At 34.2% G+C, this 25,463-nt stretch overlaps 1 long non-coding RNA gene across 2 annotated transcripts in view; it reads left to right on the top strand.

The window, feature by feature from the left end:
• The window catches only part of LINC02755 (long intergenic non-protein coding RNA 2755), a 258,473-nt gene that overhangs the window by 40,012 nt on the left and 192,998 nt on the right, over positions 1–25,463 (top strand). For both annotated transcript variants that reach the window (NR_183754.1, NR_183753.1), the window contains exon 2: positions 22,969–23,051. This is a non-coding gene — a long non-coding RNA (long intergenic non-protein coding RNA 2755). The remainder of the gene's footprint in view (positions 1–22,968; positions 23,052–25,463) is intronic.

Below are 25,463 nucleotides of genomic sequence, written 5' to 3'. Positions count from 1 at the left end.
TTGTTCTTCATAACCATACCACAATAATGGCAGGAATTAATATTTCCATTTTACAATGAGAAGACATACTGTGAAAAGTTTAGTGGCTTTCCTGCCAACACTCACACATTGATGAATGTTCAAGCCAAAAATAGGACTATAATCATTCACTCACTGACTGGTCTACCAGTGCTCTATATATGAGTGTGAACTGTAAATACAATTAGGCCCAACAGCACGTTTTCAAGACAAGTCCATGCCTGAAAATATCCTTTAGTATAATTAATCACAGTTCTTGAGGTTTTGTTCTGTTTTTTCTCTGAGCAAGGGCTTCACTATAAAAAATATTTTTCAGGGTTTATTTGTTCTTGCATCTTAGGTGAAATATATTGAGGAACTTAATTAAACTTAATTTTCTTTCTAGGATAAGTTGGGCTATGATTAACATGGAGTGTCCACTTGTCTATTTGGGCCTTCAAGTCTACAAATATCCAAATTCACCCTGAGAACTAGATAATCAGATACCAACAGTTTGGGACCAAGGGTCAGGATGACATTATGAGTTTAGGCTTGAACTTCTCCATCAACTCCAAGCTTAGCAGTCAAAGAATAATTTTAAAGAATGGCAAAATGACTAAGATATGGTAAACTCAAAAGAAGAGAAATATCTCCACAGACCAGAAAGGGAAAAAAATGTCACAGTGATAAGTTAGTGATTAGAGACTGGAGCTAGGCCTGCTGGTTCTCAGTCTAGAGGAAGCTAGAATTTGTCTCCCACAGATTAATGAGAGCTAAAGCTCAGTGTGCATGGCAGGAGACCACAGTCAAGTTAATTGCCTGAAACTTGGGGCAGGTGCAGGACTCACCAGCCTACAAAATATGGTTGAAAGAAAATTATGGCTGCCCTTGGGGTAAGGCTTATGTAAAGTATATACCTACGATTTTAAAGGATTCAGACCAAGTCCTATACACAAGATCTAAAATTAATCCACCCTACATTTAGTAACTGATTTCGAGACTGCTCTATTATCAAGAGAGAACTGGAATTATGAGCCTTTATAAAATTGATCTTGGGGTAGAGTTCCCTTTGTGTCTCTGAAAGAAGGTGAGATTTCTGTGGCAAACAGAAAACAGGTTGGAGTAAGAAGGATGGAAGGAAGCTTGATCAAGGGAGTGAGGCTCTGTGCCTTTACCTCAGGCAGAGTCTCAGGAAGGTGATATGCCCCCACATAGGAAATTGTTGCGAAGTTCATTTGGCAGATGAGTTTCTAGATAGGTTGCAGTTATTTCCAAACCCCCACCTGAATAATGGACATAGCAGAGATCTTTCAGACCCAAAGAGACCAGAAGACAAAAGTGACCTTAAGACCAGTGATGGATGATCATTTGGAATGATGAGCATCTTAGGAAATAATGAGGCATAGCGTCCTCTCCATTTTCTCCCCTCCTCACCACACACCCAGTCTTGGAATTAAGTAAGCTCCTTAGGCACAATCCCTTAAGAAAAAGAGGCTTCAATTTTATTGACATTATTTTCTGCTGCTCTAATAAATTGTGAATTTAAAATGGAAATTATGTTGAACTACAGAAATATATTATCCATGTTGCCTACAAGGTTAATACCTGATTCTAACACAAACAATTCAAACAAGTAAAATATGTTGCTGTACTACTATGAGGTTAACAAAATGAACAGGTAAGACTGACGATCTAACCACTCAGGAGTACCAGGGGCCAGCTATGCCATTCAAACCCACTCCAATCCTGGCAGGGATTTGTCATCATTTGTTGGTGGTGGTTGCTCTGGCTTTAATCTTGATGAGAATGTCTCTGGTCCTCTAGCTGGCTGAGATTTTCAAAGGGGTAACAATGACAGCAATTCCAGTTATGTCCTCCTTGGGGGATCCATTTTTGTTGTAGCAGGGAGCCATACTTTTTGCATCTCATTTCCAAAGAAGGCAGAAGTTTCTTTCAGGCTAGCCCTTCTTTCATCATCTTTCCTGAGATGGTATAAGAAGAAAAATCAGTTTATATCAAGATTTGTGTTATTGTAGCAATTTTACTCAGTACAAAAACATCACTTAAAAAGTTATGGATGGGGTGTAACCGAGACCTCCCTCTTCTAAATCCTTTATAACCTGAGATTTAAAAGGAGATACCCAGTGTGAAACCCCCAAAGGGTTGATGATTTACTGAAGTGTCTTTACCAAGTAGTTCTAGCAAAAAGGCGGCATTGATAGCCATTAGACTTGACACAGATTTTCACTCTCCCCCTCTCAGCCTAAATCCAGAATCCCTTCTCCCTATGTCCAAATGTGCCTGGAAAGAGAGATTGGACTCCTAAGGACCCTTAGAGCTCTTTTGATATTACTTTGCCAATTGTAATTTAACAAATCAAGAAACAAAATGGGGAAACAAAGGAGCTCTGTAAGATTTTTAAAATCATGAATCATTTTATATTTCAATTTTCCATTTCATAGTATTATGCTCAAATCATTAATTGAAAACATATTGTTGAAATGTTAGAAGCTGAAATATTAAAATAAAAATTACCTTGGGTTCTTCCTTTCTCTTGTGATATTAAGTCACCATTGGAAAAAAAAGCTTTCTCTTTTTTTAACTCCATATTCTGGGGGAAAAGACGGTAGTATATTTCTAAGGCCTGAGCACATGTGTATGTATGGGAGGGAGGAGCATAAATATTTTGTGTTTCAAGCTGACAGAAAAAAAATTAAGCTTAATTGGTCAGAAACATAGGGAATGAAGGCTGATACTTGGAGTTGGGGGCTATTTTCAAAGCTCTCGCTTCCCAAGACTGGCAGGTAGAGAGCTAGGTATGATGAATTTGAATGGTCCGGGTGAGCCTGGGCATGTCAGCAGTGAGAATGAGTGCCTGAAGACCAGAAGTTTGTCTCCAAATGTTCTGGGTAATATAAACTCCAGGGTGCTTGGACAATCCTGGAAAAGGAGAGGTGTTCACTAACAGTGATTAATATGGGTAAATTGTCAACTTTGGCAAGAAACAGCACAGAGCTAGATAAAGAAAAATTGATTTCAATTTAGACTTAGAAAAATAAAGCAACATAAGCATTTGTGCACATTCATACCTAAGGTAAACAAAGTATCAAGCATATAACTGTGAATATCTACTGACAAATAATGTTTTTCAGAAAACTCCCAGGTTTTATAGCTCTATATTTCATTTGTATGAAGTATTCATTTCTCAGCTCTCAGTTCCCTTGAAAAATTGGGACTTTTCTTTGAGCTTAACATTTTATCTCTAACTTAACCTCCTTTGATCGGATTTACTTTTATTTCTGAAATAATATTTCTGCAGGCTCTTTGAGATCCTCATCTTTCTTAAAAATCTCTGAGTTCTTAAAATTGAGTTACAAACTATGGAGGGTGGTGGTTTGTTCACAGTGCCTTCTCTGCTAAAATTTTTGAATACTGTTATTTGGAAATGATTACTGTTATGTCCAAATGATACCCCCCTGCAAATTCATAGTTGAAACTTAATTAGTAATATGATAGTATTAAGAGGTGAAGCCATTTGGAGGTGATTCAATTATGAGGGCAGAATCCTCATGAATGGGATTAATGACCTTAGGAAAGAAGATCCTTGGAAGTGTTAGCTCCTTCTTCCATGTCATGATGCAGCAAGAGACACCGTCTATGAAGCAGAGAATGAGGCTTCACCAGACACTGAATCTGCTGGTGTTTTAATCTTGAAATTCACAGCCTATACAACTGTAAGCAATAAATTTCTGTTGTTTATAAATTACCCAGTCTAAGATTTTTTTTTAATATAGTGGCAGGAATGAACTAAGATAGAATTCATGACCTGAAACTGTGAAACTCCTAGAGGAAAACACAGGGGGAAAGCTTCATGTTATTAGGCTTGGCAATGGTTCCTTGGATATGACACCAAAAGCACAAGCAACAAAAGTAAAAATAGACATGTGGGACTGTATCAAACTAAAAGACTTCTGCACGGCAAAGGAAATAATTAACAGAGTGAAAAGGCAACTTATGAAATGGGAGAAAATATTTGGAAACCATCCATCTGATAATGGGTTAATATCCAAAGTATGTAAGAAACTTCAATGATTTAATAGCAAAATAATTCTCCAATTAAAAATGGGCAAAGGGTTTGAATAGAAATTTCTCTAAGGAGGACATAGAAATGGCCAACACGTATATGAAAAGATGCTCATTTCGCTAATCCTCAGGAAAATGCAAATCAAAACCCGAATGAGATATCACTGCAAACCTGTTAGGATGGCTACCATTAACAAAAACAAAAGATAACAAGTATTGGCAAGGATGTGGAGAAATTGGAACCTTTATACACTGATGGTGGGAATTTAAAATGGTGCAGCAGCTATTTTTGGACTATATTTTCAACAGTATGGAGCTTTAAAAAAATTAAAAATAGAACTACATTACATATGAACCAGCAATCCCACTTCTGGGTATTTATAAAAAAGAATTGGCCAGGCACGGTGGCTCATGCCTATAGTCCCAGCACTTTGGGAGGCTGACACGGGTGGATCATGAGGTCAGGAGATTGAGGCCATCCTGGCTAACATGGTGAAACCCCATCTCTACTAAAAATACAAAAAATCAGTCGGGCGTGGTGGCACACGCCTGTAGTCCCAGCTACTCAGGAGGCTGAGGCAGGAAAATCGTTTGAACCTGGGAAGCGGAGGTTGCAGTGAGCTGAGATCATACCACTGCACTCCAGCCTCGGTGACAGAGCAAGGCTCCACCTCAAAAAAAAAAAAAAAAAATTGAATTCAGTATATTGAAGAGATATGTGCACCTCTATGTCCATTCCAGCATTATTTACAGTAGCTAAGATGTTAAAGCAACCTAAATGTTCATAGATGGATGAATAGATAAAGAAAATGTGGTATATACATATGATGAATTGCTACTCAGCCTTAAAAATAGAAGAAAATCCTGACATATGAGACAACTTGGATGGATCTCCAGGACATTATGTTAAGTGAAATAAACCAGTCACAGAAAGACAAATACTATATAATTCCACTTATTCGGGGTATTTAAAATAGTCAAACTCATAGAAGCAGGGAGTAGAATGGTGATTTCCAGGGGCTGGAGGCAATGGGGAAATCAGGAGTTGCTATTTAATGAGTGAGTATAATGTTTCAACTATGCAAAATGAATGAGTTCTAAACATTCTACTGTACTGCATTGTGCCTATTATTAACAACACCATATTTTACACTTAAAAATTTTTAAGAGAGTAGATCTCATGTTAAATGTCCATACCATAAATCTGAAAAAGTAGGATACCATGAATAACAAGTAGGCTTGAGTATCTAGGTTGTCATTTCAATTCAGTGTCGACATTAGTAATGTGGACTTTGCATACCTACCAATGCCTCACCTCTTCTGTGAAGACTAAATTGTCCCAGCCAGCTTACAGGAATTTTTCATTGCTATGAAATTTCCCTGACTCTTATTATCTGTATCATTCATTCTGTGGTATTATTTGCTACATTTTCAGTAGCTTCTTTCTATGTATAACTTTTAAAAGTCTTTTCTTTTTTCTTTTTCCTTTTTTTTTTTTTTTTTTTTTTTTTTTTTGAGATGGAGTCTCACTCTGTCTCCCAGGCTGGAGTGCAGTGGCGCGATCTCGGCTCACTGCAAAATCCACCTCCCCAGTTCACACCATTCTCCTGCCTCAGCCTCCAGAGTAGCTGGGACTACAACCGCCCGCCACCACGCCTGGCTAATTTTTTGTATTTTTAGTAGAGACAATGTTTCACCGTGTTAGCCAGGATGGTCTCAATCTCCTGACCTCATGATCCGCCCACCTTGGCCTCGCAAAGTGCTGGGATTACAGGCATGAGCCACTATGCCTGGCCAACTTTGAAAATTCTTGAGGGACAAACAACCAAGAATCTACTTTTTTCCATCTCCCTTATTTAATCTTGCCTGTGTAGAGTTGCAGCATTTTGATTGATTTATTGCATACATAATATCTATTCAATTTCTGTTAACTTCCAAGATCATTGACTTGATAAATCTCAACTAGATAGTAGAGGCATTTCTTGCAATTGATGACAGATTTTCAAATATCTTTAAGTTAATTTTCTATTATTTATAATAAATAATTTTAACTCTTCTGGAGAAGGAAGTGTATGATATGGTTCATCACATTAATACTTAATTTTAAAAACTGGAAAGTAATATGAGGTTTCTCTGAATTCAGATTCCTAAATGATCTCTAAATGATATATTTTGCTTTATGAAGTTTTTGTCTGTTACATGAATATTCATAAAGTAAGTAGGTGAATGTTTCCTATTTTATAAAGTGTTCATTAGAAGTATTTTTTAGAAGTACTTGTTCCCTAACCATTTAGGGAACTAAATCATCTAATTGTGTTGTTTAGTTATGAAAAGATTTTTCACTACTAATATATTTTTTTCAAGATTCAGGTTTTCTATTTTTCATTATTTCAGGTTTGGTGACTATGATGTAGTCACCAAAACATTATACTGGGAATTTATCTGTCACTCTTAAGTTTTTAATATTATTTGTATAAAGTTATTCATAGCTCAGATTGATACTCAGTAACTTTTTGATGAATGAATGAATGAATCAATCAATAAATCAGTGTTAGGCTCAAGCACCTAGAATGAAGTCTGTATTCATGAACCTATACTTTAGACTCATAACTGAAACAGCATAAAATTAAATCATAACATTGAACAAAAAGTAATGCACAAGTAAATGCATAAAGAATGAGCCCATTTATAAAATTTTGAAAAATTAGCAAAAGTAGACAACATATTCTAAAAATCATAAGACAAGAAAATTATTATTACAAAATTCAGGCTATGGTTTCTTTTGTCCATGACAAGAAGGATGCTTTAATGAGAGGGAAATAATGCATTTTAAAGATGAGAGACTTTTTGTCATGATTGTAATACCATTTACCTAAATAGAAGGTAGATTAACCAGTGTTAGAAGTGTGGCAATATTTTAAATGTCAATGTTATGTAATATTTTCTTATGTGAATATAGCACAAAATATGTTTCCATTGTACTGTAGATAACTTAAATAACAATGTAAGTAATATTTATTGGTAATTATGACTAAAGAATATATTTCAATTTTTACTTTTTTTCTTGAAAGTTAATGTAAAATATGGGGAGAAATGAGCTCATTTTTGAAACAATTAGAAAAGGCAGTTATTCTAACATAATTAAAATACTAATTATTTCAGGACATGTATTTAGTTCTTTTTATGTATAAAAGACTGAGTTAGGCACTGGAGATTTAAGGAAAAATGTAGAGAAACAATTTTTAACCTTTAAGCCAGCAATCCCCAAACTTTTGGGCACCAGGGACTGGTTTTGTAGAAGACAAAATTCTTCCCAATGGGGGCAAAGTGGGGATGGCAGGCAGGTGGTATAGTTTTGGGATGAAACTGTTACACCTCAGATCATCAGGCATTATTAGACATTAGTTAGATTCCCATAAGGAGTGTACAACCTGGATCCCTCGTATGTGCAGTTCACAATAGGTTTTGCACTCATAAGGATCTAATGGCTCATCTGACACGAGGCAGAGCTCAAGCAGCAATGCTGGCTGGCTCACTGCTTACCTCCTGCATGTGACCTGGTTCCTAACAGGCCATGGACTGGTACCAGTCCATAGCCCAGGGTTGAGGAACCTTGCTCTAAGCATATAGTCTAGTTAAATTTCAGATAAATTATAGACAGTACCGTATAGTTTGGGCTGAATTATATGAAATGAGTGATATTTAACCATATTTGGCCGATAAAAATATCAATGTCATCCCACACAGAGAATTACTGAAGTTAAAAGTAAATTCACTATGATTAGAACATGGAATTTTTTACTGAAAGTGAGGAACCTGGAGAGAAAAACTGGGGTAGATAATTTAATTTTTTTGTGGTATATTCACAAAATTGAATGTCACACAACAGTAAAAATGAGGGAATTTTTGCTACACACATCAGCACTGATAAATCTCAAAAGCATAATATTCTTTAAAAAGGTAAAGCACAGGAGAAAACATACCACAACATTCAATTTTTATAAAGCTTAAAAACAGAAAACATGAAACAAAATATTGCTTTGTAATGCATTTATAGCATAGTTTATTTTTCTGTATTATTTTCATAATAAAAGTAACACATTTTATTTCATTTAGTTTTTAAAATAAACATGTTTGTTTTAATTGAAAAATATTCTAAAGAAGGGAAGAGTAAAAAATTAATTTTAATATACCCTCACTTTTTCCCACTACCTTGACTCCAGTGATGTAATCAACTATTCAGACCAGATGAATATCTTTCTGCTCTTCCTCTAAACACATGCACACATATGTAGTGTTTGCACTTTATTTTTATATATTTTATTTTGTTATTTTTGAATACATATGACATACTAAAGAGTGCATATCTAACTTGGTACACTTTTTAAGGAATATGTGCAAAAGGAACAAACATTTCCCTCCACATAGTTTAGGAATGTGCCCTCCCTTATACAGCCCCTTCTCCTCAAACCAAAGAAGCCATAATTCTAAAATTTATGTTAATGATACTTTTACTTTTCTTTGTAGTATTTAACCACATATGTAGGTATCCTGAAGCATTGTATTTCCTATTTTCTTGTGATTCTTTTTTTTTTTTGGAGTGTGCCATTTCATCTAAATTTCAACCTTTTCATATTATTCTCTATTATCTTATTATCAGGATATAAATGCCTGCTTCATATGTGCCTATACCTTGACTCTATTTGTATTATTGTTTATATGTGCCTTCCGTTTTCTTGATTAATGTTGCCAATTTTTAAAACTTTATTAAGTTTTTCAATTCTTGGCCTTTTTTTTTCTGTAAAATATACCATCGTTTCAATGTCTGTTTTTGTCTTTTTTTTTTTTTTTTTTTTGCTGACATTTATTTTACTTGTAGTCATTCTCTAGTTTTTTTCCAACTGATTTTTTTTTTTTTTTTTTTTTTTTTGAGATGGAGTCTCACTCTGTTGCCCATTGTGGCATGACTTGGCTCACTGCAACCTCCGCCTCCCAGGTTCAAGCAATTCTCCTTCCTCAGCCTCCCAAGTATCTCAGATTACAGGCATGCACCACCATGTCTGGCTAATTTTGTATTTTTGGTAGAGATGGGGTTTCACCATATTGGCCATGCTGGTCTCAAACTCCTGACTTCCTGATCTGCCCATCTGGGCCTCCCAAAGTGCTGGGATTACAGGTGTGATCCACCACACCTGGCCTCCAACTGATTTTTTTAAGTTAGACACTCAGATCAATTTTTTTAACCTTTCTCTTTTTTTCCTAATTTAATCACTAAAGGTAATCATAAAAGTTTACATCATACATGTTTGAGATATATATATATATATATATATATATATATATATATATATATATATACATATAATTGCTTTTATCCCCAAAATGTTCTAATTTTTATTATTATTTTCCTTGTCTCCTGTATTATTTAGAAGTGTTTTTTGTTGAATTTTCTGAATGTATGCACAATTTAAAGTTCTTTTCATTATTGACTTCTAATTTATCTGCGAGGTGGTTAGAGAATATGATGAATATGACACCAACCCTTTAAAATCAGTAGAGCTTTACTTTATAGCCTAGAACATGTTCAATTCTTTAAATTGTTTCATTTATGCCTGTAAAGAAGGTGTACTTTCCACCTTCTTGGAGGCAGTGTTTTGCATATAGTTATTAGATACTTTTGCTAGTTTGTTACCTAAGTTATTTAAATCCTTTAAATACTACTGTTCATTTTTATCGCTCAACCACACTAAAATAAATGTTTGAAATATTTGTCCCAATTATGATTAATTTGCAAATTTGTGTTTTTAATTCAATCATGTCTTTGTATATTTTGAAACTGTTATTATAATTTATATTTAAAATGTATATATTTCCTCCTGAATAAAAGCTATTATGTTTTGACTCTCTTTATCTCTGGTGGTGGTTTTTGCCTTCAGTCTTTTTATGTATATTAATAGAGCTATTCCAATTTTTCAGTATTTATTAATTTTATTTAAAAACTTTCTCTTACTATCTCTTTCAGAGAGTAATTGTTGAATTTTTTTTTAGTCTTTTATGTTCAGCCTTTATTTCAGGTGTGACATTTTAAATAGCATGTACTTGGATAATTTTTCTAATCCAATCTGTCTACTTTTGTCCCTGAACTGTACAAACTAGTTGATGTTACATTGTTCTGACGATAAACATTTTTTATTTATTTATCTAACAAATTAATTTCTTATTTGTATTTGTCCTGCTTCTCTCTCATATTTATTTGAGTTGTTTAGTGTGATTTGTTTTCCTTGTATTCCCCTCTATTTCTCCACTCATTTAGAAGTTATGCACATTTTCCCATCTATAAAGGGGTAAGTCTAGCAGCATTACGTGCATATGTAATTTAATGAAGTTTATAAATATCATTATCTATCCCCTTTACAATAAATGACTCTCAAAAGGCTTTAAATCTGATTCCTTTACCCTTCACTTAGAGACAGTTGATTTTTTAAAAGAAATTGAATTCTAAACTCATAAATTAAAAATTGTTATTATAGTATGCAGCCAATATTTACTTAGATTTACTTAGAAGTTTACAGTTATCATTGTTCAAGCTTATTTCTTTCATCTGATATTTCCTTCTGGTATTCTTTCTTCAAGAACATTTTATAAATATTCTTTTAATATAATATCACCTATTGGTTATGTACGCTCTCAGGTACTTACTTTTAGTATAAAAATGCCGTTATTTCTTCTCAATCTAGAAAATAATTTTACTGAACATAATAAATCTAGATTGATACTCATTTTCTCTGAAAACAAGGTGTCACCCCTCTGTTTTCTGTTTCCACTCTCACTGACTCTGAGTCACCTATGAGTTTTCTTTGTCAGCAATCTTTTTACTTGTGCTACTTTTAAGACAGTTTAACTCCTTTCAGCATTCTGAAGTTTCACTAGGATGTATCACAGTGTGAATTTATTATTATTTAAAAATTTGTTTTGGCCTCTGTTGAGATACCTGGACTTTAGAAGGTTTGTGTTCAATCAATTATAGAAAAATTTTAACAATTAAGTACTCACATTTTATCTCTGATTCATTGTCTCTTTTTGTTCAATAGCTCTGATCAGATGTATGTTTCTTCTTCTCACTGTATTTTATATGTTCTATAATATCCCTTTTATCATTGTGTCTTTCTGAACTGTATTCAGAATACTTTCTTCAGTTCTACCTTCCAAATAAATACATTCTTTTCCTTTAATCCGACTCTAATCAGCTGTTTGGTTTATTCTTCACATTTAAAAACAAACAAAAAAAGACTTGTTTTTTCAAGTCAGAAATTTCTTAAATCCCAATTCTCCCCAAACTACTCCCACCCACACACATATTTTCCCCAAGATAAGTCATTTATCTTTATGTACCATTCTGATCTGATTATTTATTAGATATAAGACATATGTGACATTCTGAAATTTTACCAAATTACTTTGTAGTTTGAAACTAGTGATATTTGAATTCCATGCCTTCTTTATTGAATTGCTGTCTCATTTAGCTGAAGCACATCCTTTTTTTCTGAAAAAAGAAAAGGATATTTTGATTTACTTTTCAATTATTTATATTTCCAAACTTGATCTCGGGGAACTCCTCATATTTTGATATTTGACCTTCAAATTGATCCTCTGTCTTGTGTCTTTCCTCTCAAATATCCTTTTTTTCTTTTTGTCTTAATTTTTAAGTGATGTACAGGTTTTTATCTCATAAATCATGTTTTTAATTAAAAATATTTATTTTAAATTTCTTATAGGTGTTTCATGCTTCTTGATACTTACTTATTCATAGTGACTCTTCTTGTTTTATAGATTTCTTATCTAAATATTGTTGAGGATAAATTAAGTATATGTTTTAAAGCTTTTTCTTGTTCTTGAACTAATCTTTCCAAGGCATTTTTTTTTTTTTCGCTTCATAAAGAATTTTCTTTTATATTACAGAATGTATCAATGTCTGGAGAGTCTTGCTTTTTCATCCAATATTTCATAATAAAAAATAAAAAAGTTATAGGGAAAAACTGACTAACCAGCAATCCAAGTATGAGAGTAATGAGGTAGCGAAACATCCTTTATTCTGAGGGACTTCGAGATGTGAAACTGCCTTTACTCATACGCACCTAAGTCTACTAAGTCTACCCAGCCTTTCTTAATCATCTCAAGACTCTTTTTTTTACTTATACTTGATTCAATTGTCTTACCAAAAATATCCTTTCCCTCACAATTGTTTTTCTCTCTCATGGCTTCAATATAGTATTTCATCTGATACTATATGCATACTAAATAATGGCCACATACTATATGTATTCTTCCAGCAAGGACAAGATGGTATCCATTCTGTACATAGCTTTTACGTAACCTACCTACTGTTAGCATCAATCGCACCAACACCGTACCTGTAAGTCTTAAATTCTGGATTTCTCTAGCATTCTGAAAGGATATTCATCCTTCTCTCACCTTTAAAGTCCCTTTTATCTCTATTATTTGCTGTAGCTTTCTATGATCTCTTTTATAACATTTGTATTTCATCTTCTTGGTGTCTTGAGGAAATTTGATAAAACATTTTGTCTTTAAAGCTTTCTTTTGTCTTTATTTTTGTTTGTATCTACTTATTCCTTTATTATTACTTAGTTGAATTTTTACTAGGGGAGGGGAAAGCATGTATAGTAAATTACTCTTCTCATCCAAAAAGCTTAGTTTGTTCTTTTCAATGCTTGTATCATATTCCATAAAATGAGTATTTTTAAATTTTATCTAAAACATTCTCTTACATATATATTTCACATCTCCACATTTTTCAACTTCAATCGTGTGTGTGCATATGTATGTGTGTGTGTGTAATTTTACATTATTTCTGTGATATACTATAGGAGAACATACCATAAATGAGATTGTTTTGTTTCTTGCTATCTTCTGTAATGTTCATTTGACAAACCACAAAACGAGTACTTCAGCAAAATATTTTATCAGTTCACATTTCCAACATCAATGTATTGGAGATACGTTTACTCACGCTGTTGCCAACAATGAATAGTACTGCCCTTTATAATTATTGCCAAGTTGATATAAATGTATTTAATTATTGCTTAAATTGTTAATATCATTAAATTGTTAAAAACTATTATTTAGCATTTTCTTTACCACAAGTGAGATTAAACATCTTTGCACATATTTTGTGGACATGACTTCCTCTTCTGTGAGTTGCCGTTATTCAATGACAATTTTATTATAAAAATATTTGTCTTCTTCCAAATCATTGGAGAGATTTTTCAAATAGTTACTATAATAAATTTTATTTGTCATATATTTTATTGTAAATATTTTCCATTGCTATTATTTTTCTTACAACTTCTATAAGGTGACTTTTGCCCACTAAAGGTATATTCTTAAAATGTATATATATGTCTGGATTCTGGGTACACTGTTAAAGACAAAAAGGTCTCCCACTCACAAGTTTTACAAAAAGTCTATTTTCTATAGACTATAATGTTATATTTTGGCTTAAAATGTCTTAATTATTTATTTTAACACTTAATGTATGTAGTCTTACATTTCCTATATTATGTGAACAACAAAATCGATTTTATTTTCTTTCTAGTGAGAAGTCATTTATTCTAGCAAAACTTATTAATTTTCCTTACTTCCTGTGACTTAGACTGCCTTCCTTGTTACATATTAAGTTTTCATATTTACTTTATTCTCTTTACTACTTCTAAATTCTGTTAAAACAACCTATTAATTGATTTCTGAGCCATTTATTATATGGTTTTGAATTTAAGGTAATCATTAGTATCAAAAAGCACATCCTTTTTAGTATTTTTTAATTTTTAAAAATGTTCATGAATATTTGAAGATGTTTACGTTTCCATGATAACTACATTAATTTTACCCAGTGCTTTTTAAATTGAATTCTGTGAAGAATTGCATTCATTTATATTTAGAAACAGTACATTCAGAAAGAAAACAACCAGCTCTTAAAGGTCCTCATAAGCATCTCAAGGAGTTTGCATCTTTTTTTGAGGTCAGTGTGCTTAAATGCATTTCTTGAGGTTGAAAATGCTTTGAAAAACAGAAGAAAAATAGTCATATTTGAAATTACAGACATTACTTTGTTTACAAAGTGAAGGGTGATTGAAACAAAGGAAGGCAAGCTCCGAAACAGGAAGTTCAGTAATGCAGCTGTTACTATCTTCAAGTTAAATATAAAGGGGGAGAATATGCCTAAATGAGGAACACAGCAGTATGGATAGATAAGTGGACAGATTTTAAAACTAGTAGGATTTAGTGTTGAGCGAGGAATGAGTGAAGCACTGGGATTTCCAGCTTTCATAATTTGTTCACCACATCCAGGGACCAAAAGTTAATACGCTATCTGTACTGCGTGAAACACAATGCAAATCCAGAGCACATAATACTATGTAAATGTACTTATGACAGAATTATGCTAAATTTAAAATGCAGTATGCAAATGTCATAAGCATGTTTTGTAAACAGAAACAATAAACAGAGAAAATAAAATATATCTAAAGCTATCACGTCAAAGGAAAACCATATATCTAATTTAATTTACAGAAAATAATAAAATGATAAGTAATTAAAAGTTGCTCCTTTTTTACTATTGTACGTAATAATTATTTTTTAAAAATACCATTTTTTGAGCATTTGCTTGAGCAAATGCTATGTGCCTTTCACTGTGTTGACTCCCACTAATATTATTTACTTGCCACAAACTTCCCTTTAAGTAGGACTGTTTCTAGTATCCTTCTTTCTATTTATTTTCTTACCAGTTAAGGAAGCTGCCGCTTACAGAGATAAATCACTTGCTGAAAGTCATTTGTTTCCTAGGAAGTGACAGAGCCAGAACTGATTTGGAAGTTAACTTTCTTTTTCTTGTATCCTTCACTATATTGTGCTTATATTCAGTACTAACTACTGTCAATTAATAAATAACATCTTTTGGTGCCTCAGAGGAGAGACAGTAATTATAGAAGAACAGAAAATATATCCAAAAACAAAACAATACACAAAAGCACAATACATTATTTCGAAGACCATTACTTTAAAGAACTCCTAACTTCTATCATCAACAAAAACAACTGATAGTTGTTGAAGGTTCAAGAAAAACTTCTTGGTTATGTATTAAAATCTATGGGCCTATGCTGATATTCATGTTCTGACTACATCTATCAATAGCAATAATGCTTGTTTTGGTTATAAAAATTGTAATTATGAATGTGAATGTCTCATTTTCAGCCAAGAATACCATTCTTCTTTTATTTGGGATCATTTGGGTCACTTGGAGAGCTCCAAATATGAGAAATCACTTTCTTTCATTCATGATTCTTTTGTACAAAGTACCACATTCTGAACCAAGTACCACAGGATATGTCTCAGTACAACTGAGCCTCCAAAGTCCATTCTAATGTTGTACTTGATGACCTCTTTCTCTCTTGTCAATAAATATAGATGAAATCAATTGTGAGGCAACTGGGTTATTCAGGGAAGCAAACATGCTAAATATAGCAGAGTATGATGGTAAGGCTGAGAATTTAAGAAAATAATCTAGTTCATGCACATTTACATGAAACAAAGCCTAAGTCTGTCAATTAGAATGAGCTGAAAGCCAAAGTTGTGCTGAGTGCTCTCAGCACAATTAGCATTTGTATTTTTAGTAGTAGTCCAGGGCCCATGAACAGTGCCAGCATCACTTAAGATAAACCTGCTAGTCAGATAATCTGTGCTAAAAATAGTTAACTGAAGAAAAGCAATTTCTCTTTTTGACACATAGTCAAGTACCTTCTAATACAGGGTGATGGGTTTTTGGCAGTAAGAGTAGTCAGAAAAAAAGTGTTCCACAGTGAGAATTCATTCAGTTGGGTTCAGCAAGTAGAAGAAAACACAAGGGGTTATTATATTGGAGAGTCAGACATTGTGGCCAAAGGACTTTGAACTTCACAGAACACCCCTGTATTTCAATTCCAGCTCTAATTCTTGTTAACTAGATGAGCAAGTTTTAAAACCAATTTTAGACCCAGTTTCCCCAGAAAGTGGGATTAAAAACAGCTGCCTCACAGAATTATTGTGAAGAAAATGCTGGCACAGGACCTGCACATAGTACCAATAAGCACTGGCTTCCAACTCCTCTTCATCCTTCTTGCCCTTCCATCACTTCTGTTCATTCCCAATTAATATTATGGCTAAGGTAAGAGAAACCACATTCAAATTATATCAAGGCACCATATACATTGTCAATTTCTCTTGCTCCAGAGGTTGCCTTCTTCTTTCTTCCGCAGTGAACTCTGCTACACACTCCCCACCCCCAACACACCTGTCATTTGCTACCCATGCCACTCATCTCATAGTAATCTGCTTTCCCTGTCCTATTCACCATCAGTACTTTTGTTAGATAAGATATTTTGTGATCAGGGGTTCAGAGGAAGAAGAGATTCATTTGATGCCTCAGTGCAATAAACAATTAGGTCAGGGGCTATAGAAATATTTCCTTAACTCAAAAGCTCTGAAGAATATTGTTCTCCTTGTTCTTAGCCTCTAAAGCAGGGGTATCCAATCTTTTGGCTTCCTTGGGCCACACTGGAAGAATAAGAATTGTCTTGGGCCATACATAAAATTCACTAACACAAATGATAGCTGATGAGCTAAAAAAAATTGCAAAAATTCTCATAATGCTTTTTGAAATTTATGAATTTATGTTGGGCCACATTCAAAGCCATCCTGGGCCACATGCAGCCCAGGGGCCATGGGTTGGACAAGCTTGTTCTAGAGCTAGAAAGGGTTTAAAGCTCAAGAAGTTTACTACTACAGTCTCTAGTCAGGTTTGGAGACTGAGAATCTCTCAGCCTAACAGGAAAAAGAGAAGTGCTAATGGCATATTTTTATGGCTGACAAATGTTGAGCATGCAACATAGCTTGGGAAAAGATCTAGAATAGTCATTAAGAGTCAGAAGTTCTAGCCCTCACTCCACCCATGTTTTATCTGTGTAACCTTGAGCAAGATAGCTGTCTCCAAAGGAAAAATAAAATGTACATTTGGATTCAAAGATTTCCAAGAAAATGATTTTTTATGATTCCATACATAATTTTATTGGGAATTTATTTTATTTTATATAAAACACAAACATAGCACTTATAATCACTGTTGCAAGAGCTTTATACCTATGAACTTCTTTACCATAATAGCTCTATAAAGTAGGCACTACAATTATCCTCATAGTATGAATGAAAAAACTGAAGCCCATAGAAGTTTGGTAATTTGACCTAGGTCACACAGGTTTTAAGAGGTAGAGCCAGAGTTAGAAAATATCAGATTAGTTGCAGCATCTCTCTTTTTAACCACTATACTTGGTCATACTTAAAAGTAAGATGTTTATGTATTCATTTATATATTTTAGATATGCATTCTAATCACTGTACTGAAAAGGAACATATTTTAACTAATTCTTTCACCTACCTACTATGCCAATGTCTGGGGCTGCCACTGACCCTAAGTAATTATCAGCTGTGATGAGGAACATCCACAATTCTTCCACTGTTCTAGTCATTCATTCTTCTTTTTGGAAATGTGAGAGAAAATCTAACATTCAAAAATAATTAGCCTGTCTTTTCCAAGATCACAAAGGTCAATTTGCAGGTTAATAGTTAAATGCTTTCTTTTAATCACAATCCTCAAGAATAAAACCAATTATTTAAAATGTCTTTGAAGTGACTTTAACAGCAGATGTTTTTCCCTCAAAGAAACTTTTTTTTTTTCTGATGCTTTTCATGAATCAAATGTACTATACGGTACTCATCCTTTGAGGTGGTATGTTTCATGTCACCAAGAACCAAGATGTCCAGGCATAGACACGCGGTGGTTTGCCTGTCCATTTATTTTTATTTATTTATTTTCAATGTCTATAACTTCTTTGGTAGAGATGGGTCTCCCTACATTGCCCAAGCTGTTTTTGAACTCCTGGCCTCAAGCAGTCCTCCTGCCTCAGCCTCCAAAAGTGCTTGAGTTACAGGTGTGAGCCACCATGCCAGGTTGATCCCTGTGTAGGATATAAAGGTGTTCTTGTTCTGCTCCTCAAAATGTCTTAAGATATAATGATGAAAGAGAAAAGAGGGCATAGTATCATGCAAAGGCCTTTTGCTTAATCTTGTTTCTTCAAGAAGCTCTCTGATTCTCAATTTTCTGATTTTAAAATTGGAAATAATGACCCTGAACTCAAAGAGTTAATCTGAGGATTAAGAGAGATTATCTATGTAAATTGCTTAGTGCAGTATCTGAAACATAATTCAGTGGCTCACTAAATAGTAATTCCTCTTTACTCTCTTCTGTCACCTAGGACTGACCAAGATTTACATATATTCATTGAAATAATGGAATTCCATGATTTGCCCTGATTCTGCATCCACAACTTAGTTGCATTTAAAAAAATTACAATAGCACTAGACTTCTGTGTCATCAAGTTAAAATTGTATTGATCAACTAGTAAACACTTCACTGTGCTATGTACTGAAGATAATAATAAAATTATGAAATCTAGGTAATGTATACATTGAAGGAGCTAAAAAAATCCTGTTGAAAGACAAGGCTACCACTTTCTCTCCACTCCCCACAATCCTCTCTCTCTCACACACACACACACACACACACACACACACACAGTCCACCAACACAATAGTACCAGAAAGGAATATAAGGTAGTGGAATGGTTGGTCTTGATTACAGTCACTGGCAGGGTTTTTGCAATGGAAGTGGATTATAAGTTAGGCCTTGAAAGGTTGAATTTTTAGGGGCAAATAGGAGCAGGGAGATTTTTATATTGCAGAAACATCATCAGCTGTAAGTATGAAGATAAAAATAGGCATACTATTGGGATCAAGAGACTAGTCAGAATAAAAGTGGCCAAAACTTACGTCTGAGGCATGGGGTCCAAGGTTTTAGAGACATTAAGTCCTAGAAGTTAAGCTGAGAGATCAGGAGTACATGTACTGGGAGACACTGTAGATCCATTAGCTATTAAATCTACATGGTTTTTCAAGCATTGGTGCCTCAGATCTGGGAATTAATTTGATAAACCACAAAAACACAACTACTTCATACCAAAAAAATGAACTTAATTTTTAGGATTACTTTTGGTTCTCTCCAGCATTTGGGAGTCAGCACACATATACTCCACTGAGTCATCCACTTGCTCATCCATGACTCTTCCATTTGTAGAGCTCCTGGGCAAAACACTACCAACATTGGTTTGGGAACTATTATTTATAGTCCTGAGCTCAGCAGCATCTGAGGAAGAGGGGCCAACTGGGACATGGTCTTTCTTATGTTCTCTGAGGTCAAGGAGTACCAGTCTTTTCAGTGGAGCAGTAAAAATGATACCCAGGTTTTCCTGTCACTAGGTATGGGCACTGCATTAATTTCCTAGGGCCTCCATAACAAAGTACCCCAAACTGGATGGTTTCAAACGACAGTAATTTATTGACTTGTATTTCTGGAGGCTAGAAATCTGAAGTCCAGACATTGGCAGGGCCATGCTGCCTCTGAGAATGGTAGGGAAGAATCTTTCCTTGCCTGTTTTAACTTCCGGTGTTTGCCATCAATCCTTGTTGTTCCTTGATTTGTAGATGCATCTCTCCACTAACTGCTTCTATGTATGTCACAGGGCCATCCTTCTCCTGTGTGACTGTCTGTATGCATCTTCTCTCTCACAAGGATACCATTCATATTGTATTAAGGGCCCACCCTATACTCCAATATGACTTCATCTTAATTTGACTACATCTATGAAGACTCTATTTTCAGAAAATATCATATTGACAGGCACCAGTCATTAGGACTCCAACACAGCTTTTTTTGAGTGTCACAATCCAACTCAAAACAGAAACAATTAACTGAGAGATGGAAATAAGCCTTATGTGGATCAATAGAAACAGCTTTGCCTGAAGCTCAGGCATCTTGGGAATATGCTAGTAGTGGTGGAAAATTCCTGAGCCTCAGTTCTATCCTTCCACACTTACTTCTGCTTTTGAGAGCTGAGTTTTAGTTATAAGGTATATTGCTTGACTAAAAAAACTGCACAAGATTATGTGGAGATTTGAATTTATACATCCATTTCAAATTCATCACTACATTTGACTTTCACAACAGAATTTGTAAGTCACAAATTATTATTGCTGATGGTTTAAATAAAACTTGTTTTCTACACCAGAGTCTGAACTAATTGAAAAATGAAATAAAATTCTAAGCAGATCAGCATGTTATTGCCTTATCGCCTAATTATAGTCATCTAAGAATATCTATCATCCAGCTTCTTAAAACTGATAGACTTTCCCGCCCCTGGCAATTGGCTCTTCAGTGAGGCCTCTCTAAGGGAAAACCTGGTCCTTTTTACAGCCTCTTCCTAAAAAGAAAGGAGAGGTGCTGAACAGAGTGCATTCATGTTATTCTCCATAAATTTACCATTCAAATCACACTATTCCAATTTTTCTGGAGCAGAACAAGTAAAAGGGTAGAAAGAAGCTAGGAATGTTACCCTAATTGTGTTCTCATCACCTGCAAGGAAACATCAAAATTAGCAAAGAAACGTTTGTTCCCACCATTGATTACTAACTTTTTTTTTTTCAAATAAGAAAAATGAGGCTCAATCAAATACAATGATTTACTTAAGCTTTTTGGGCTATCTGCTAATTCTGTAAATTGTTCGATGCACCATCATTGCCTTCTCTTTGTATTATACACATGTTAAACATAATATGGTCTCTTTATGTTATGCTTGTCATATGGACTCTGTCAGATATGATTTTTATACCAGCAACCCCTGCTATCATGTATCTTGGATGATATAATTAATTCTTAGAAATCATGCTTTGCCATATTTTCCCAGTCAAAATGTATCACATGGCATCTTGAACTACAGTTGAACTCTGTAGTGCTCAGAATAACTGACTCTTGGGAAAATAAACCCTTTCTATTATTTTCAGAACAAAAGTTGAACCTTGTCAAAAGAAGTTAAGGATGTTAAGTTGCCCCTTTGCAGCAGGAGTCTAATTATAGCCAACAATTGGTAATGATTCTGTGAATATTATAGCCATCAGGTCTCATGTCTACAAAATCAACTTGTAAACATACTAAGATACCAATCATGCTTAGAACTGTCTCTTTGGTATTTCATAGCACTTAACACAATCATAAATTATAAGTATGGTATTTATTTTCTTGTCTATGTCTTGCATGAAAATGTAAACTCAATTAGGACAAGAATCACTTTTGTCTCTTTCATTCTTGTTTCCAAGCACACTTTTAGGCAAATTAATACAAATAAAGTGATTGAAGAAATATATGAATAAAACATTGTTATTGTTTATACATGTTGAACAATATAATACTTTCATATTTTAGGTGATTTACATATCTTTGAAGGTCTTAAGGCACTAAAATTTTTCTGACAGTTTTAATTTCCTTCCTCTTAGACATAAGAATTTAATATTGAGAGTAACAGCGTTTTATGGAGATACACATCTCTTGTCTCCACTACTACTACCACTGTATTTATCTTCCAATATACCATGTTCTGTTTGTTTTCTTTTTTCCTAATTCTAAGCATAGTCCTAGTCCTGTTTGGGATTAATCCATTCATGCCTGAAAACAAGCATTTGCAGATACTTGACTCAATTAAGCTGGTAAAATTTACCGAATGTCTACAACATTTCAGATACTATAAATAAAGTATTATCTGCTAATATTTGTATAATGCTAGAACAAAAGTTGGAAAAATATTTTTCCTGTCATTATTGAGTGTTATGGCCTTGGGTATTATCATTAATTTCTTTCAAAAAATAAAGACACTAAGATCAAGAAAATCTGGTTTCACAACTTTCTGTTCCCACTTGGTTCACACTTCATTATTAATAGGAACTTATATACTATAGTAAGCTGATTAAGAGAATTGACTTTGGAGCTTAAGTGGCTTCGATCTGCCCTCTGGCTAGCATCAACACCTGTTTGCTCTATGACTTCTCTGAACTTTGTTTCTTCACCTGTACATTGGGAAAGTTTCTTTAATTGTGACCCTTTATAGAGACATGCATTTATAAGAGATGATCAATTACCTTGGGGTTATTCTGCTAGTAAGTCAGTGGTAATCTGACAATTGTTGAAGCTATATGGCAATAGAGTGAAAATGTCATTACTTAGGGCTCCCATAGCAATTTCTAAGAATTCACTTTCTACATGGATAGCTTCTTGTGAATGTAGCCTGTCATGTTGTGTGGGTATTTCCCATGACAACATCTGTAATCTTTTACCTTTCCAGAAGCCCCTGTACTTGCTATTCTTATTCCCATTTCAACTCACCATCACAAGCATTTTGTGCATGAACTACTTTATGCAGACACTACTTTCTTTAGAAGGGCCTTTTATGCTTCTAACCTTGGTAATACATAAAAATTCACTGCCAGCCAAGGTTTAATCTTCATGTTATACAGACAGCCATGCCCACCAGACAAAATATCATTATAAAATATTGTTCTGTCAAGGGGTAATATTTTATCGTTTCTTGAGTCTTTCCAAAATTTCTAGTGTATTTGTTTGCCCTTGAAACTTTCAGTGAATAATAAATATCATCCTAGAATATAACCAATAAACATGTAAATTTTCCACTGGGCAAAAAGAATGTAATTTCCCTAACTATGAGAGGCACGTTTTTGATTAAATGATCTTTGGTTCCTAGGATCTAAAATATAAGAATGGATAAAGTCAGGGTGGGCCTCTTATGCTGGGACCTTGGAGCACTAAGCATTATGCAGAACTCTGTTCCCCCTTTCTCTTTCCTCCCTTCTTTCTCATCTTCACTATTGCTTTTCTCCCAGACAGATACAGATGGAGGCAGTAGCATGGTAACACCTCAAAATCAAGCATCCAGCAGCTGAATCCGAAAAACACAAGGAACAAGGTAAGATGCCAAAAGAAAAGGACCCAAAACAGAGTTCGTGTTTTCCAAAGGTTTTCAATTATATCCTTATCAGTCTCTGCAACTTCATTTGCTGTCCCCATTAGTTAGTTCCCTATTGGCTATGTTTGCAAGGTCATCATTTCTTAACATTATTTAAAAGACTTTAAAAGACTTTAACTATGTAATCTCTTTGCCTCTGGAGGTAACAATCCTAGTTTGTGTTATAAAGAGCATTGCATTTTGTTTTCCCTACAGCATTTTTAGATCCCTTATCTCATTAGGCCTTCATGACCCTTTGCAGCATATAGGACAGGAAATTTTGTTTCAGGTTACAAAATGAGACTTGGAGAAGCAGAGTGACTTACATGAGGCCAGAGATAATAAGGGCCTCAGCTCCTGTTTGCATCTGTAAACACACCTTATATCTTAAGGACACTCAAGGGGATTCTCAGAAAGCTCCTTAAAGTGATATGTTCAGAAAAGCATCCACGTAATCATGGTTCCATAGATTGGTCTGGGTTTCTGTATCTGGGACTGGAAAGGTCTGAGAATCTCTGGCTAAAATATGGTCACATTGCATTTGCTCTGCATTTTCCTAACTGGGCAACATGTAGGTAATAACTGCATCTGGAAGCATCCCCCAGATGAAATTGCAGCAGCTTGGGGGATGATTTATTGTCATTGTGACAGTCCTGTCTGATGGTCCCCAGAACCCCAGGAAGGAGTGTTTAGGCCACTGTAGCAAAAAACACTGGCACCCAGGAAAAGTCAGAAATTTCCCTCACTGTTTTAGATTTTCTCACTGCCTAACATACCGTGGAATAATTTTAGCATTCAATATCTGTCTTCAATGAAGGGATGTTATTCAAGAGTTGCTCTGAATGTTATAGAGGGAGCTATGATAATTGAGCACATACAGGTATCAAGTATTCAGCTTGATGCTTTAAATACATAATTTTATTTAATATTAGTAAAATTATAAGAAGTTGTGTTTGCCTACAATTTATAATATGAAAATTGAACTAAGGAGGTGACCATTTAGTATAAGTCAATCAAGTTTAAGATTAGCAAGGACAAAATTCTATTATAATCTGTTGCCTAAAATACAAGTTCTTCTCTCAACCAATAATGGTTTATTAAACAAACGGCTCTTAAATCTAACTATGTATCTATATATTGAATTTCCTGCCATTTTTTCTATGAAGCATCCTTTATTTTCCTACTTCAGCTTCATAGCCAGCATTATATTTTCACAGCTCCAAACTTTATTGCTACCAATCACATCACCATTCTTTCTCTACATTAGCATTTCTTAATGTTTGAGCTTTAAGCCTATGAGTCAATATAAGAATCCATATTTCTCCATGTATTTTCTCCATCAGTGGACCCTATTGTTGGAATAGTTTCATATTGGGTTCTGCAAAAATGTAACATTTCACTATCGACTTTTGAGGTTATAATACTGTAAACCACATCTCTAGATAGTTATGATAATTAAAACTTTGGTTGATTCGACTCCTATTATGTGTTTTCTAACATTATGTGATGTAATATTTGCAACAAGCCTACATGTTAAGCAGTATTATTCACAATTTACAGGGGGTAATCTCAAATTCAGAGGAGTTAAACAATCAGTCAAAGTTGCATAGATAGTAAATGATAAGGCTTCCATCTGAACACAATTCTGGTCAACTTTGACATCCATTGTTGTTCAGTGCTAACTTCAGGTCTTAGAATCATGCAATGTTTTCATGCAAGGGTGTGTCAGGATCTTCTTTGTTTTATAAATATTAAGTTCTGATATAGATCCAAGCTACAGACAGAACTTTAGCTCAGAGGTTTAAAAATCCCAGAAAATATGTCATGAAACTCAAAATTTTAATAATATTAAAATATTTTAGTAAGGTAATTCTATTTTTCATCAGAAGCAAGAGATAGTACAAGAGTAGCTGATGCAAAATCACACTGCCAGCAAAAACAATTCTAACTCTTTCTAGATAAGCCCCTGCAATCAATATGTTATTAAGCCAGAAAAAATATCTAGCAATGCAGGGAATATAAGTTTACATTAATGGCCAGGGTCTTGGTCCAGCCTGCTTACACTCAAAATTTATCTTGGATACATTGAATGAATGCTTACTATGAGAAAATTGGCTGTTGAGAACAGGAATCTGCCTCAAAATGTTAAGATCTATTTATAAGCTTAGCTAACATTCAGGTATTTCAAGACAAGCATAAACTATAAATCCTGGATTATATACATGTGGTAGAGACAAGAAAAAGTGTGAAAGATGAAGCAAGCTTTTGATTATACAGGGACAAAAATTACTCCATGATAGAGTTGGAAAGGACATTAGAGATAAGTGAGTCTGACCTTTTATCATATTTTATACAGTATAATAGTAATACATT

Source organism: Homo sapiens, chromosome 11 (genome assembly GCF_000001405.40).
Source record: "Homo sapiens chromosome 11, GRCh38.p14 Primary Assembly".
Lineage (NCBI taxonomy): Eukaryota > Metazoa > Chordata > Mammalia > Primates > Hominidae > Homo > Homo sapiens.
This window is presented reverse-complemented; position numbering and strand designations above follow the sequence as displayed.